Raw genomic sequence first — 16,749 nt, forward strand, 5'->3', positions numbered from 1 at the left:
AGCCAGGGCAGAGACTGTGACTTCTGCCATTATTTATGCTGCCCCCTGGTGTGGGTAGCTCCAGGTCAATGAATATCAAAGCCAAGAGGAATAAAAAGTTAAAGGTGTACGCTGCCCCAGATGAGGGCTCGGCAAGAGGTGCTGGCATCATCAGGAGCTCCTGATGGGGTGGCAAGGATGGCATAGGCTGGGGTAAAGGGAATAATACCTGCCACAGCCAACACTAACTGCAAATCCTCTCTATGAGCCCTGTGCTATGAGCTTTATACACACTATCTCACTTTTTCCTCAGATGGCCCTAGGAGGTACATACTGTTATCCTCACTGTTTAGATGAAGATACTGGAGGCTTAGCAAGATGAGCTAACATCTGAGAAGCATGCCTGCCATGTAGTATGTATCCTACAGGTATTTCTTAAGTGAATAAAGCCACCCAGGTGGTAACTGGAGATGCAAGATTGTGCTCAGGCTGACTCCAAAGACAGACTTCTTATCACAATTTTTCTTCAAGGATTTTATTCTTGCAGAGAGCATGGAGGCTACCGGAGTCACGTTTAGCAGTTTTGTTTTTGAGCAGGGAATGTCTGTGCTCTCCCTTAAGTAAGCCCGGCTGCCAGAATACACTGGTGGAGTTATGTTACGAACCAGGAGTAGCCTGCTGCCTACTGGTTATCTACATGAAGGAATGCTGTTTTGCTATTTCCCTCCCACTGATGCTGAAATTGAAATGGGGAAGGACTCCAAGTACAACATGTCATGCAAGGGGTTGAGGGTATCCTCATGGGATCACACTGAGGACCTGCTGAGAACACGCTGAAATCATTATTCTGACAGATCAGGAATACTTTCTCATCCACAGCCAGCAGCCACGTATGCTGTGCACACACTGTGGTCTGTCTGAGTTGGCTTCTTCCAGAAAGTAGGCTCACAGTGGGCGTCTGAGGGCTACTCCTGCCGGGAAAGCAGTCTCATTTGTTCATATAACATAAACTTAAAAAAAAAAATCAGGAAACAAGGACTCCCAGCTGGAGATGTGCCTTTGAAGACATTCTTCCAAGAGGTCTTTACCACAAGATGAGCACTGTGACTCCAGGAACAGACAGTGCATATCACACCCTCACCACTGGGACCACAGCATGCTCAGAGCCTTGGTCAAGATTTCTCCTGCATGTTGGTTGACCAGGCTTTGAGGTTAACATTCAGTCTTTTAGGGAAATCACGTTCTGCAGTCAGGGCAGGGTGTCAAAATGAAGAAGTCAGCCTTCTTTTGGTTCCTCCCATTTCCACCAGAAAGTCCATTCTGTGAAAAGAGGTATTGCTTTTTCTGGTTTTAATATAATGTAGTCCTGGTTTAGAAAATCAGAGGATTGGAGACTGATGAGCCGTTTCTCTGGATTCAGGTTCATACGGTCCTGCCTGAAAAGGAATCAATTCTCTTACATAGGGGATTTGGAAGACAGAGAAGGTAGAGGCTTCTGGAGCCATGAGATGCCTGCCACAGCAAATGGCCAGAAGAGAGAAGTCACATGGCAAAGGGAATCTGGCCCAGAGGCATTCCTGCAACAGCAAGGGGGCTAAGTGAACGACACTATTGTTTCAAAAATGTACCTGATGATCTAATTTTGGGTATATGTGATTTCAAGATGCATACTGACCATTGACCTGTTCCTTATGCTCAGAGCCAGAAAGACAGAATCCAAAAACTCAGTGTAGAATTCTTTGTTTAACCCCTTGGCCATTTTGTCTAAACTGTCTCTGAGACACTGATCGAGTTTCTTTCAATGACTGAGAAAAGCATTGTCCACTAGTATTCAAATATCTGAAGTTCTGCATGCTTTCTACTGCTTCCTGGGCATTCTGCTCTATTTCATCTGCTTGTAGGGCCTTAGATTCAAATGTCTTTCAGATCGAAATCCCTAGTCCAGACCTTGAAATCTCTTCCTGAAGGTGCCAACAGCACCTCAACCCTGATACGCTCAGCTCATGATCAGTCTCCCCAAACACAATTTCCCTATGTTCTCCATCCCAGTGAATGGCACCCCCACTCACCGTTCAAGGCTGAAATGAACCACACAGGACTCTCCCTTTTCCCTCACTCCCACATTCAATCAGCCAGTAAGGTGTGACCAACTTTAACTTATTAATATCGCCTGACCTGTCTCCTTATGTCCAACCCTATAACCACTACCTTGGTTCAGGCCCTCATCATTTAAACATTTCATTTATTTTTTGATCTAGACCCATGAAGTGGCTCCCTAAAGGGTGCCTGTCCACAGGGCCAGTCAGAAGGAGTGTTCTGTATCCCAGATCTCATGTTGCTTCTCAGCTCACACTGGTTTGTCCCCGGCATGGTGTTTGCAGTCTGATGTGCTCGAGTCCCTGCTTATTTCTCAGGCTCTATCCTGCCCCTCTCCAGTGGGCTCCCACGGTATACACCCCTACGGGCCCACACGGCACAGGTTCCCACAGACCCCTGTGACTTTCCAAATCTGGTCCCTTTTCTGTCTGATGCACATCAATTCATCCTTGAAGGCTTACCTTACCTACAGCCTTCCTGATGCCTCCAGGTGCAAATCAGTGTGATGTTTTTCACATCCCTACAGCATCTACACTAGAGAGTAATTATCAGTCTCAAAAAAGCAAAGGGTTTCAGAAAAATGGGACCTTCTCACTACTGCCACACCTCCATCTGCCACCAGACTGTGAAACACTAGAGGCAGAGATATTTATTTAATTATCTTACATCTATGACATGCTCTAAGAAATGCTTGCTGACCAAGTACAGGAGTGAAGAAACCGTCTCCTTTTTCTTTTCGTGTCTGTAAATCCTGTTGGAAAACAGTCCTTCCTTCAGTTTGGCACTGGCTGTGGCTCCTGTTTGTTTTCTCTCATGGTTTTCTCCTCTTTTGCTTGTGACTCTTTTCCTCAATGCCTCCCTCCCCACTCATGCCAGGCTCTTTCTGGTGCCCTCAGTTACATAACACCTGGTAATTGGTTTTAAATCTGGTCTGGAAACCACCCACAAAAGTAGGGGTGCACCCAGCTACCTGCAGGTTATCCAGGAGTCTGCTATGAGGGAGTGCTACCTAGTTTGAGAAGATAAAATAAAAACCGCTTGGCTCAGTGTTGGATTCTGAAGGAAATAGCTGGGCTGGGTGGCTCTAAGAGTTTGCATTCTGTGGCCACGGCTTTTATAACAAATGCACCATTTTAGCTACCTGAACTTAGCTGACTTCAGTTTGTTATTAGGAAGGCTTTTAGGGGCTCACACGGCAACAGAGAGCTCGTCTGTGTTTGCTCGGGTGAGAGAGAAACATCCACTCTGAAGACCCAGTCCAAGTTTATCCATTGTAAGGAATAACAGGAAGTCTTACTCTTACTGAGCATTTGCAAACCCAGGTCCCCAGATGGGAGACAATCCTCCATGTGGTGGCACCATGGCAACCACACATTCCTATTTGATTGAAGAGTATTGCATGTCACATTCTTTTACCCGGGCAGCCACCAGTACTGAGCTACCTCAGCACCTTCCCAATACAAGTAGTCTTCCCTTATTTGTGGTTTTGCTTTCTGTGGTTTTAGATACCCACGGTTAGCTGCAGTTGGGAAATATTAAACGAAAGGTTCCGGAAATAATCAATTTATTAGTATTAAATTGCTCACCATTTTGAGTGGGGTGATGAAACCTCTTGCTGACCAGCCCGGGATGCGAATCCTCCCTTTGTCTAGTGTATCCATGCTGTACACGCTATTCACCCGTTAGTCACTTAGTACCATCTCAGGGTTCAGTAGAATCCAGTTTCAGGCATTCACTGGGGGGTCTGGGATGTTTTCCCTTCGTATAACGGAGGCCTGTTGTAATCAGCATCACTGAATAACTTAATAGATATTTAGTTCATCAATAAACTACCAATTTTAAGTGACTTAAAAATATAAACATAGTAAAACATTGAAAAAAATTAAATTTTATCAGAAAAACAATTGTTTTATTTTATAATCTTTTACCAAGGAATTTTGCTCACTTCAAGGATAGATAAATCTTGAGTCTTTGGCCTTCCTGCTGTTCTCTGTGAGTCTGATGGGCTGATGTCTCACTGGAGGGTTCAGAGCTCCTTCAGATCACATGTTGGTAAGGATATTGCCCTTCAAGGCTGGAAGGCAGGATGAGTCAACCTGGGAAGTCGGGCCAGTGGCCTCAGAATACACTGCTTGTGTTTACCCTGGAAAGTGATATCATCTGTTGCAGCATTTGGGTGTGGTGTTGAAAGGTCCAGTCGTGGCATTGACTTTGTTTTCTAAAGAAAATCTTCAGGCTCTGGGGAAGGGTCGAAGTCTGAACAACAAAGCCCTTGCCCACATGGTCGGCCCTCTTAAGAAATTCCGACCACTTATCTTTGATCTTAAGAATCTCCACACCTTGGCTTTGAATGAGAGAGTTAGGTGGCTCACAATACTGATTATATTACTGGGATATGCTATTTACTTAGGTCCCTTAAATCATACCATTATTCTTCGTCGGCATTAGAGTAAGGAAACAATATTTTTATCTCATTTCTCATTTTACTAATGTGTATGGGTATTTTCCTCTTCAATAGACTATTTAAGTGGGGGGAAAAGCAGTGTTTATAGCTAGAATCCACTTCTTTGAACAGTGCTCTCAAAATAAGCACATTCAGTGGCTGAAAGTTGATAGTATTGAATATTCTCACCATTTCTGTCAACACTAAATGAACATCGGGAGATATTATTTTGGCCAGCAGTTACTCTGTGTGAATAAACAACATGCAGGCTGTCATTTGGATGCTGCCTCCCTTGTTCAAGTAGCTATACCCTTTCTTTATATCTGTCTCTCTCTCCTGAAACAAGACTTGATTAAGTGAATAAAATTTAATTCTGGAGACTAGGTTTTTAATGATTAAAATTACAGAAATTTTTCAAGCACTTCTTCCTCATATATACTAAGAGTTGATTCATATTCATTATGTCTGTATTATGTAATTATATATAATGTTTTTTCTGTCTTTATTGATACATAATAGTTGTACATATTTGTGGAGTACATGGGATCTTTTGATACATACCTATAATGTATAATTATAAAATTAGGGTAGTTGGGATAGCCATCACCTGAAACGGTTACCATTTCTTCGTGTTGGGAACATTATAATGCTTTTCTTGCAGCTATTTTGAAATATACTATAAATTCTTATTAATTATGTTTGTTCTACTGTGAACACTAGAACTTATTCCTTCTTTCTAACTGTATTTTTGTACCCATTAACCAAGTTCTCTTCCTCTCTGACTTCAACACTTCCCAACCTCTGGTAATCACCATTCTACTCCCCACCTCCATAAGTTTAGCCTTTTTAGCTCCCACATATGAGTGAGAACATGTGATATTTGTCTTTCTGTGCATGGCTTATTTCATTTAACATCATATCCTCCAGTTACATCCATGTTGCTTCAAATGATGGGATTTTAATTTTTTTATGAATGAATATTCCATTGTGAATATATACCACATTTTCTTTGTCCATTCATCTGTTGATGGGCACATATGTTGATTCTATAATCTGGCTATTGTGAATAGTGCTGCAATAAACAAAGAGGTGCAGATATCTCTTTTATATGCTGATTGCCTTTCTTTTGGTTACATCCCTAGCAGTAGGATTGCTGGATCATATGGTAGTTCTATTTTTAGTTTTCTGATGGACTTCCATACTAATCTACATTCCCATGAACAGTGTAGGAGAACTTCCCCTTCTCTGTATCCTCATCAGCAACTGCTATGTTCTGTCTTTTTGATAATAGCCACTTTAACTGAGGTGAGATGACATCTCATTGTGGTTTTGATTTGCATTTCCTGGATGATTAGTGATGTTGAGAATTTTAAAAGTAAGTTTTTTCAATAGTTTTAAATTTATTTCCAGAAATAATGAAAATAATAACAATGATTATTATCTTTGTTTTTTTAACCAATATTGTGTGATTGATTGCTGTTTAATATTTCTGTTGGAGATTAAAGGAGGACTTCCTCTCTCTGTATTAGTCAGGATAAGCTAGGTTATCCTGCAATAACAAATAATCTCTGAATCTAAGTTGTTTAAAACAACAATAGAAACAGTTTTTACTTTTTTTCCACTCAGGGTGCATGTCCACTGAAGACTGGCTCATTGGAAGTGACGAGCTAGGGATGCATTCTTGATTATTCTCACTAACAGAACCAGAATGAGTTGTGATGATAATTAATTTTAGGTGTCAACTTGACCAGATTAAGTGGTACCCAGATAGCTGATAAAGCATTACTTCTGGGCATGTCTATAAGGGTGTTTCCAAAAGAGATTGGCATTTGAATCAGTGGACTGAGTGAGGAAGATGTGGCCTCACCCAATGTGGACAGGCATCGTCCATATGGCTCAGGTCCTACTAGAACAAAAAGCCAGAGGAAAGGTGAATTTGCTCACTCCCTTCTGGAGCTGGGACACCCTTATTCTCCTGCCCTTGGACATCAGAACCCCAGGTTCTCTATCCAGCCTTTCGAATCTGGGGCTTGGATTAGTGACCCCCCAGTTTCTCAGGCATTCAGCCTTGTGACCTTCAGTCTTGTGGTGAAAGTTATGCTATTGACATCTCTGGTTTTGAAGCCTTAAGGCTTAGACTGACTCATATTACTGGCTTCCCTGGTTCTCTAGCTTATAGATGGCTTATTGCGGGACTTCTCAGCCTCCATAATCCTGTGATAATTCCTATCTCTATCTCTCCATCTCTCTCTATATATATCTTATTGTCTCTGTCTCTCCGGAGAATTCTAATCCAATGAGGGAGGCTTATCTTTAGGAAGGGAGTGGCAAGGAAGGGGTATAGCTCAGAGGTAGAGCATTGGACTACAGACCAAGAGGAAGGGAGTGGCAAGGCAAATCATGTGCTGGCCGTTAATGCTTTGACACAAAAGTGACACAAGTGATATTCATATTTCTTTCTTATTTATTATTTTTAAATAGACTTTACTTTTTAGAGCAATTTCAGGTTTATAGAAAAATTATGCAGAAAGTAGAGTTTCCAGGTATGCACTCCTTCCCCTTCCCCACACTCCTCCTCTGCCCCTCCACCCCCTTGCCCAGAGTTCTCTCTCATTAACATATTTTGAGACAGGGTCTCTCTCTGTTGCCCAAGCATGATTTCTGCTCATTGCAGCTTTGTGCAGCCTTGACCTCCTGAGCTCAAGTGATCCTTCCACCTTAGCCTCCCCAGTAGCTGGGACTACAGGCACACAGAGTCACACTGAGCTAAAATTTTTTTGTATTTTTTTTTAGAGATGGGGTTTTGCCATGTTGCTCAGGCTGGTCTTGAACTCCTGAGCTCAAGTGATCCACTCACTTCAGCCTCGCAAAGTGCTGGGATTACATGCATGAGCCGCTGCGCTTGGCTCTCTTCCATGTCTTTTTGTGGCTTTCTTTCTTTCCTTTTTTTTTTTTTTTTTATCACTGGATAATATTCCACTGTATGGATGTACCACAGTATTGCTCTCAATCATATTCTATTGACCAAAGTAAGCCACATGGCAACCCTGACTTCAAGGGAGGGAAGGGTTATCCAATCATATAATTGGAAGAAGAAAAAGTAGAACTATTTTGTGAGCAGCACTAATTAACCCTTTTGCTTCCATGTCTTGAATGAAGTAACAATGTTATGCTCACAGTCAAATCTTTTTCAGGGTAAGTGAGAGAGTTTCAATTTAACGACAACTTGGACCCCCAATTTTTGCTATGAAGAAAGTAATAAAAGGAGCCAGAACACTCCTCATATATTACAAAAAAATCTCAATATGATCTCAAAGCTTGGCTGCAGGCTGCTCACAGATCCTCTGTGTCCTCCCTGAATACCATGTAAGTGACAGCGTCTTTGGAGTCCTAAAGGGGCCACACCTTTGTCAGAAGCCATATGCACTTGTTAAACTGAACTAAATATGGCCTGAGAAGGACGCCATACTTCTAAATTTGAGTCCATGAGGACAAACTGTAACCTAACTTTATAGTCAGATAGGATTGAAAACCTGACTTAAGAGTATGTGCCTGTAACAATAGCTGAGGTCTGGCCAATCACAGCAGCCATACGTCAACCACTCATACACTGCTGAGTGTTCAGATTTGTTCAAAAAAGGCAAATGTTGAGCTGTAATCAGTCCAGCTGTTTCTGTACCTCACTTCTGATTTCTGCACGTCACTTCCCTTTTGTTGTCTATAAATTTGTTCTGACCATAAGGCATCCCTGGACTCTCTCTGAATCTGTTGTGATTCTGGAGGCTGCCCAATTTATGAATTTTTTTTTCTTGCTCAGTTAAACTCTGTTAAATTTAATTTGTCTGAAGTTTCCTTTTAACACAGTATAGCCTCAGAATATTGCTCAATATTGTCCTGGACGTAGACAGAAGTGATAACAAATCAGGTAAAGGCCAGTCCAGAAAACAGACACCCATCAGTTTTCCTAATAAAGAATACTTAATATAAGGAATTGAAGCACTGAAAGTGAGGAGGAGGACCACTGGAGGGTCACGGAGCTAGCAACTGCAGGAAGCAATCGCTACCCCTAGGGCTGAGAGAACAAAAGGGATGCGTCAGGTGCCTGGGATCTGGAAGCTTGGAGGAGGGCCCTGCAGAGCTGGAAACTGGACCAGGAGGGAGGGGTGCTGCCTGGTGGAGGCAGGTGCGTTGGAGACTCAGAGCAGGGACCCTCAAAACAGGGACTCAATATCTGGGGAGGAGGTTCTGGTTGACAGACGCTATCACTGAGGGAGTGTGTTCTTGTAGTGAGGAAAATAACTGCAAACTGGAGCTAAGGGCTGCTGGGATGATACTGACAGGACCAGCAAAAAAACAGAAGGAACAAATCCCTTCTTCCCCACTGCCTCCAGACTCCCTCTAGTGCCCCACTACTGGCAGCCTAAGAGAAATCCCTCTGGCAAAGCTGAAATGTGATTACAGAGGCCCAGCCCCAGCAACACAAAGCTGAGAATGAAGGGTGAGTGTGGAGTTTACAGGCAACAGCTTAATAATCAACACAGACACTAAACAAATATTTGGTCCCTGTCTCTTATGCTAATATTTGCTCATTACAGCTAAAAGACTCTGAGGAAGGCCGAGGTCAGAGAAGGCGTAAGATCTGCTATTGACATGTCCTGAAAGCCTTCCTTTTTGGTAACTGTCAGCTAAAAGAATCATCCCGGCAGTATCATCTGGAAACTCGTCCAGCTTGTTTTTTGGCCACCACTCAATAAGAACTTAGTTTGAGTTCCTTGCTCTTGCTTTAAGTAGCTTTTAGAGTTCTTTGAGACATTTGTACTTGAGATAGAGAAAAGAACAGCTCCATGACAATCTTGGCTTCCCCAGGGTATTTGAAGGGGCTTACTGTCCATTCCCAGTTCTGAATCACCAAATTCCACTAAATAGCCAAGGTACTCACCAACCGTTCTTCCTTAATCTTTGCAGTCCTTCCTGTTCCCATTTCTTATTTTTATGTATTTCTGTCCTTTCTTTTCCCTGTTTTAAAATCCTTCCCCTTCTTCTTTTCTGCCATTCCACTGCTTTTCCTGATAACCCTCACTCTTCCCGGGGGACAGCACAGTGTGCTTGAAAGAGCATGACTCCTGCACAAGAAGGGCCTAGGGTTAAATCCTAATTCTAATGTTTACTTGCTTTATGATCTTGAGCAAGTAATTTTTCATTTTCAGTTTTTTAAAATGGAAATAATTGCTAGGATACGTGTACTTTGTAAGAAGAAAATGAGAGAATGTATATGTAGTGCCTGATAGATAATAGGTGCTTGTTAAATATTTGCTTCCATCTCTCTTTTTGTTGTTGTTATCAAATGCACCCTTAGGTACACCTATTGAAAACCAACTTAAGACTTCCTTATGTCTGCTGCAGAGCCCTGCGCTAGGCGCCTATCTTAGACCCAGCCTGAATTCTTCTCCTAAAGTACCGAATTGTTTATTTAATCTGGCCATATTTTATTTAACTCACTTTCTCTGTCTTAATTATTTGGAAACTGGTGAGGCTCAAAATTCAGTCTGTGGCAGCCAGAATTACTAAGCTGGTGTATTTTGACTAAAACAGGGGAAAGTTTGCAGCATAAGGGAAAGAAAAGACAGACTAGGTTTGGATTACTCTGACTGGAATCAGTGGGAGATGGAAGGTTCAAGTCCTAAACTGGCATTCCCTCACACTTCATGCCAGGACCAGCCATCAGATACCACTCATCGTCATGTGCAGACTGGCCCTAGAGCTGGAAAATGGCCACCGAGGTCACGAGAGGGTGGAAATAATATTTCACTCTGTCTCAGTGTTACGACACCTTGCTGGTTATTTACCTTCCAGTCCTTTGGAACCCTTAACTAGAAGTAGTTGCAAAGTCAGCCAGCCAGCGAGCTAAGTACTGAGCCAAGCATCACTGAAGAATTTGTAAGTTGTTTTCTCTTTCTTATCTACCAAGTGCTGGTCAGGGTGAGCCTAGCACTGCATCTTGAAGCAGGGCTCCTCTCCATTGTTTAGGTTAAATTACCTGTCAGTATTTGAGGAAATCAGGGGCACCTCCTAAAATTGGAGGTGGTGCTCCTGAATCCCCCATCTTTCCTCTGAAGGTGGTACCACTTTCCATGGCTAAGTGGGAAGCCTGAGGTTTTCCTTTTTTACTTAAAAGCTTTGCAAAGGTGATAGAGAGTCTAGGCACCCAAGGGGGATTTCCTACTGTAGGGTATTTCTGTGGTTTCAGAGTCCCAAATTTAATAGTGGTGGTTTAGGGAATGCTGATTCTCAAGGGCAAAAAGGCAATTGAAATGTGGAGCCACTTCCTGTTGGTGAGGGAAGGGACACTGTAGGAGGTAATGAGCTGGTTTGCATAAAATTGCCTTTTAAACATCAGGAGATTTTATTGATTTAAATAAAAAGCCTGAGATCCAGTTCCAGGATTGGTTCAGCAACTCAGTAATACCAAAACACTGGTCTTTCCATTGCTTTGTTCTTCCTTCCTCAGGTGTGGCACCTCATGTGTGCAAGATGGCTGCTGCTGCAGTGGCAAGCACCATGTCTTCACTGACCTGCACAGAAGCTTAAATTCTGACTTGCTTGATGGCATGGCATGCATGCCCAATGGGAAAAGCCATTTGATTCATGTACAGGTTCATGAAGGGCATGATTACTGGGAGCTTCCCTTTTGGACTTGAAGTATAAGATTTATTTCACACTGATGCCCTTCCTTGAGTAATAATAACACTAATATTCACTGAGCACTTATTACCTTCCAAGCTAAACCTTTTGTTTGTTTGTTTGTTTGTTTTTGACACAGAGTCTCACTCTGTTGCCCAGGATGGAATGCAGTGGTGCCATCTTGGCTCACTGCAACCTCCACCTCCCGGGTTCAAGTGATTCTCCTGCCTCAGCCTCCTGAGTAGCTGGGACTACAGGTGTGCACCACCATGCTGGGCTAATTTTTGTACTTTTTGTAGAGACAGGGTTTCAACATGTTGACTAGGCTGGTCTTGAGCTACTGGCCTCATGTGATCTGCCTGCCTTGACTTCCCGAAGTGCTGGGATTACAGGCGTGAGCCACCCTGCACTGTGGCCAAACGCTTTTATATGAACATTTTAGTCATCTTCATAACAACTCCACAGAGAGGATATTATTTATATTATCTTCATTTTACAGATGAGAAAACTAAAGCTTAGAACAGGGTTTTTCAAATTGTGGGTCTGAAACCATTAGTAGACCATGAAATCAATTTGCTGGATTATGACTAGCATTTATAGAAATTTACATAGAATAGGACCAATCAAATGGTGCTCACAAAATATCAAAAATAATTATTTTTTATTAATCTTTTAATTTATGTGAGTATGTGTGTGTGTGTGCACACACGTAGAGTATTATTTATGTTAAATATATTTCTTACTGTGGATTGCAGTGAAAAAATGTTTGAAAAGTCTATCTTTGAGTTTAAGTAACTTGCCCAAGATCATGTGGTAAATTATGAAGCTGTAATTTGAGCCCATGCAGTCTGAGACCAGAATCTGTGCTCTCAATCTCTGCCATGCTGCCAACTTAACTTAGAGCATGGGGAGCCCAAGAAAGGGCAGTCGTGTAGAGAGGGAAAACAATGGGAGAGGAGCAGCTGGAGAATGGAGGCAAGGCCCCAGACTCCTGGAGAATGTTCTGTGTTCCTGTTACTGGGCTCAGGTTGCAAAGGTTTAGCACGCGAATGGCCGTGGCGCTCTCTGGACAGCCCTCAGAACCACAGGTCTTGGTTCCCAGCACAGTTCTGCTGGATGCCAGGCATAATTGCTATTCACTACCCCTTGTATTTGCACATCTTTGCTGGTTTGAACAAAAAATTATATTACTTTATTGATGTCATTCCCATACAGAATTTTAGAGCTGTAAGAGAACTTAAGTCCTGAGTTGTCTGGATGCTAAATGTGAGACCTGAGAGGTCAAGTGACACGCTAAGGTCACACCGAAGATGACAGGGAGCAAGACTCAGACCTTGGGCATGCAGGCCTGTGCTTTTCATTGCTTTCATTTGTATCATGACCTGGTCCTTTTAGAAGGTGGTGAATTACAGGCTAGCAGGAAAGGTCTGCGTGTGCCTCATCCTGGAGGCTTATTTGAAAACTGGAGAAAAAGATGTCTTCTCTAGTATCCATGCTGGGTTTCAAGGTGGGCTGGAATCTTCTCGTGAGAGTGCAGGGAAGTGAGAATGGAGAGAAAGGGGGTGTGCGTTGCCTCTTGGCTTGTTTTTCTAAGCACAAAATGAAACTTTTTTCCAGGCAACTTTTTCTTTTCTTTTTTTTTTTTTTTTTACAAAAATAATAATTTGAGACTCTTTCCCAGGGCAAAAATACACTGTGCAGTCTTTGTGCCCACAGCACCTGTAGAAGGGATTGAATTGAAGTTTTGTTCAAGGTGCTGAAAGTTTATGGTCCATTTAGCTGTGAAGCAGAGTTTAATGTTGGCAAACTTTTGTGTTTGTTTTAGTTTCTGAAAGTTGCTAACCATTTTCCCTTTCTTGGGGAGGAGAGCAGGCCTGGCAGGAAAGGCAGGGCCATCACTGGGGCAGGGTGGGCGGGGTGGGTAGTGTTTAGGTACAGAATCTTAATGGGCCAGTAGATATGTCTGCCTGATGCCTTTAGCACCACAGCCTGTTAGCCTGACCTGCTGGCACATGGAGTTAAGGCCGCAGAGGCTGAGGAAAGTGGGTGTTTTCGGAGCCCCTTCCTTCAGCAGTTTCATCCAGTGTGGATGCTGATGGACAGCTACAATCCCCAGAGCCAAGTGCACATTCCTGCAAAAGATAAACATTTGTCTATTTGCTCAACTCTGCTCTCACTTTGTTACCATCTAAGCCAGATCTATCATGCCCTCGATGCATTTGGCAGGAGGGAAAACAGATGGTCATAGACCTGGCTAAACAGTTCCTATTTCTGCAGCCCTGGCACTAGTAATTCTGGGTCTACTTGCAATTTTGTGTAAGACGCTAGATAAGAGGCCTAAAGCCCATCACCTGCCCTGGTCTATGCACTAGCAATAAGCAGATGTTACCTTGAGTCTGGAGTAACAACCAGACTCATTTGGCAATTCTGGAGGCAAATTGCTTGTCAGAAACACAAAAACAAATATTTCATAAACATAATAATCATGTGTCAAGGGTAAGTCTCATGTTCCTACCTCATTTCTTTGTCCTTTCCCCTAATTTCCATTTTCTCCAAGGTAATTCAGGACCCTGCTGCCTCTTGCCTAAATTAGGGCAAGAACTTTCTATCTCATCTCCTTGCCTCTAGACTCTCCCCACTCCTCCCTACTCCTTGCAAGTGCACCTCATTCCTGGCTACCATAGGCACAATCTTCTCTCTCCTTAGTGGGAAGAGATCACATCTGATTCAGCATGAGTACCTCAGCACTCAGCATGGTTACATCAGCACCCTGGTACATAGATGCTCAAATGATAGTTGTTATAAAAATGAATGCATAAATCAAGTGCTATAGTGTTGGGTTGGTACACATAGAATGTCTCTGTAAGTTCATTTTTAACTTCTCTATTTAAAGGAGGGATCATGGTTCAGAGGAAAGAGCACTAAAGTACGAGTCAGAAGACTTGGCTTTGCATGATAGCTGTGTCACCATATGCTAGCTGTCATGCTAAGTGCTTTGAATTCACTATCTCATCTCTTACAAATAACCTCTGAGATATATATATAATCTTCATATATGATATATATCATAGGTTACATGATATATGTATCATGTATCATATACATGAATAATACATATATATCATGTATCATGATATAATACATGAATTATGTATATATCATGTATCATAATATATGATATATATATATATATGTTATTCTTACTCAGTTTTAAGAGGAGTTAACTGAGACATAGCAGTTTTAGCAGACTTGCCTAAGGCACACAATTTAAGATTCTCAGGGACTCTTTGAGTTTCAAGCCCATTTGTTTAACTACTCTGCTAAACTGCCATGCAACCCTGGCCAAATTAGTAAGTCTTCAGACTCAGCCTCCTCCTCTGTAAAATGAGCAGCCTGAACTCTGCCGATTCTCTTTAAATCCTATACAGCTATTCTGTGAGTCTGCATTTCTGATTCCAAACATCCACAGAAACGTACTGTGAAACTCCAGTGAATTGTGACTTGTGTTATGAGTTGAGGGCAGGTCAGAGAACAGTAGCATTCCATTGGGAACTGGCACACATTTGCAGCCAACAGATGAAATCTACACTCCTGGCACAGAGCCAACCCTGCCCTCCATCCTAAAGCACACTTGCCTGGTGAGTCCATTTGGTCCTTTCCTGAATCCTGAACTGTCACATCTCCCTCATTGGGAAGGATAGTATGCAGGCCCGACTCCTTCATAGAGCATGGGTTGTTCATCTGTGAATGTAATTTGAGGAAAGTAAAGGCCCACCTGCCTGAGATGGCTGGAGGGCATTGTATTGTAGCAATGGTAGACCACATGTTATTAACTAGGGTTCTGATGACATCTTCCAGCTACACTCACTTGAGTCTCCTGTGACTACCACTCTTTCTCAGTTGTCATCTCTGTCTTTACTTTCTTTGTTTACACTTTAAATGTTGGATATTCCTAGGGCATAGTTCTCAGTTTTCTCTCACCCAGAGTAGCTTCATCCTTTCTCATAACCAGATCTTACTTTCTCTTAAAATCGCTATTTAAATTTCCTGCTAATTTTGAGATATGTCCATATCTCCACCACAGCACCCTTAGAACTTTAGAGTTCAATATCTCCCATACTGAAGCATCTAGTGGTATATTACAGGGGCAAGTAAAATAAGTGTAGAATAAATAAACTGTGATGCATTAATTAATACATTAGTACAGGTTTAGGTGCTGGGTAAACTTTCACCTGTTTTTTTGGTGAATGGAACCATTTTCAGTCCTGAGAACAAGGGGCAAGTCTAATTTATTGTTTTGTGCCTTTGGACTATAGTGCAGTGCCTGGATCATTGTAGCAGACCAGAAAAAGTATGTTAACATTAATGAACCCAATACAGGAGACTCAGGACTGGCACATTTTGAGAGGAGAAAAAAGGAGTTTCACATCTTGAAGTTTTGCCCAGAGAAGGCCGGCCCATGTGGGATGATGCAATGTGGGACTTGGCTTGTTAGGATCAACATGGGGACATTGGACTCCATGATAAAAATAATAATGTAGAAGGGTCCAGCTCACAGTAAGCAACTGAACTTTGCCTGCCTCACTTAATTTGTTAAGACCATCTCAGGCTCTTACGACCTTGCCCTTGGCGCTGAGCCTGCAGAGTAATTCATACTTTTGTCTATGTCAGATCCTTGGTATTAGCCCAGGGTGACACTTCCATGAAGATTCCACCAGTTTCCAAAATTTCCTTTTACCTTTTCACACCATAATTTTCCCTGGAGCATAACTCATTGAAGTGGTCCCAGCTGGGTTTTGTGGCTTCCAGTGACCTCAGTACTCAGGAGAACAAACAAGGGCAGCTGGCCATGTGAACACTTAAGAAAGCTTTTAGAAAATATGTTTTCCTTCTCATAACTGGCCCGATGAGCTGGAGCTGGCAAGCAGAGAGATAGGGTGAGACTGCAACACTGAAGATGTCCAGTTGTGTCAGCTGTGGTGTATTGCATTTGTATCTCCTGATGTCTGAACCAGAAGGGGTCTTTATCCCCGGGCAAATCCCTCGTGTCTGCAGAACCAATTCCCTTGGCAGGCTGAGGGATGCTGTGTGACTAGGGTGGGGAAGGCTAAGTGTTGGGATCTATGAATTGTATTTCTGCTGCCTTGGGACAATAAGCAGAGATGTAGACTGTCCTTTTTGGCTTAAATGTATCCCTCCTTACACTTAAACATAAAACCTAAAACCATAAAAACCCTAGAAGAAAACCTAGGCAATACCATTCAGGACATAGGCATGGGCAAAGACTTCATGACTAAAACACCAAAAGCATTTTCAAAAAATGCCAAAATTGGCACATGGGATCTAATTAAACTGAAGAGCTTCTGCGCAGCAAAAGAAACTATCATCAGAGTGAACACGCAACCTACAGAATTGGAGAAAATTTTTGCGATCTATCCATCTGACAAAGGTCTAATATCCAGAATCTACAAGGAACTTAAATTTACAAGAAAAAAACCATTAAAAAGTGGGTGAATGATATGAACAGACACTTCTCAAAAGAAGACATT

At 42.4% G+C, this 16,749-nt stretch overlaps 1 long non-coding RNA gene across 2 annotated transcripts in view; it reads right to left on the reverse strand.

The window, feature by feature from the left end:
- Window positions 1–498: 498 nt before the first annotated feature.
- LOC105370777 (uncharacterized) overlaps window positions 499–16,749 on the reverse strand; it is a 556,255-nt gene continuing 540,004 nt past the window's right edge. The window contains exons 1-3 of one of the 2 annotated variants that reach the window (XR_932130.3): window positions 4,022–4,076; window positions 3,663–3,851; window positions 499–1,415 (exon numbers count right to left, since the gene is read on the reverse strand). This is a non-coding gene — a long non-coding RNA (uncharacterized LOC105370777). Of the gene's footprint in view, window positions 1,416–3,662; window positions 3,878–4,004 lie in introns of those variants that run through there. The other variant, XR_001751487.2, reaches the window with a different exon arrangement.

Source organism: Homo sapiens, chromosome 15 (genome assembly GCF_000001405.40).
Source record: "Homo sapiens chromosome 15, GRCh38.p14 Primary Assembly".
NCBI lineage: Eukaryota > Metazoa > Chordata > Mammalia > Primates > Hominidae > Homo > Homo sapiens.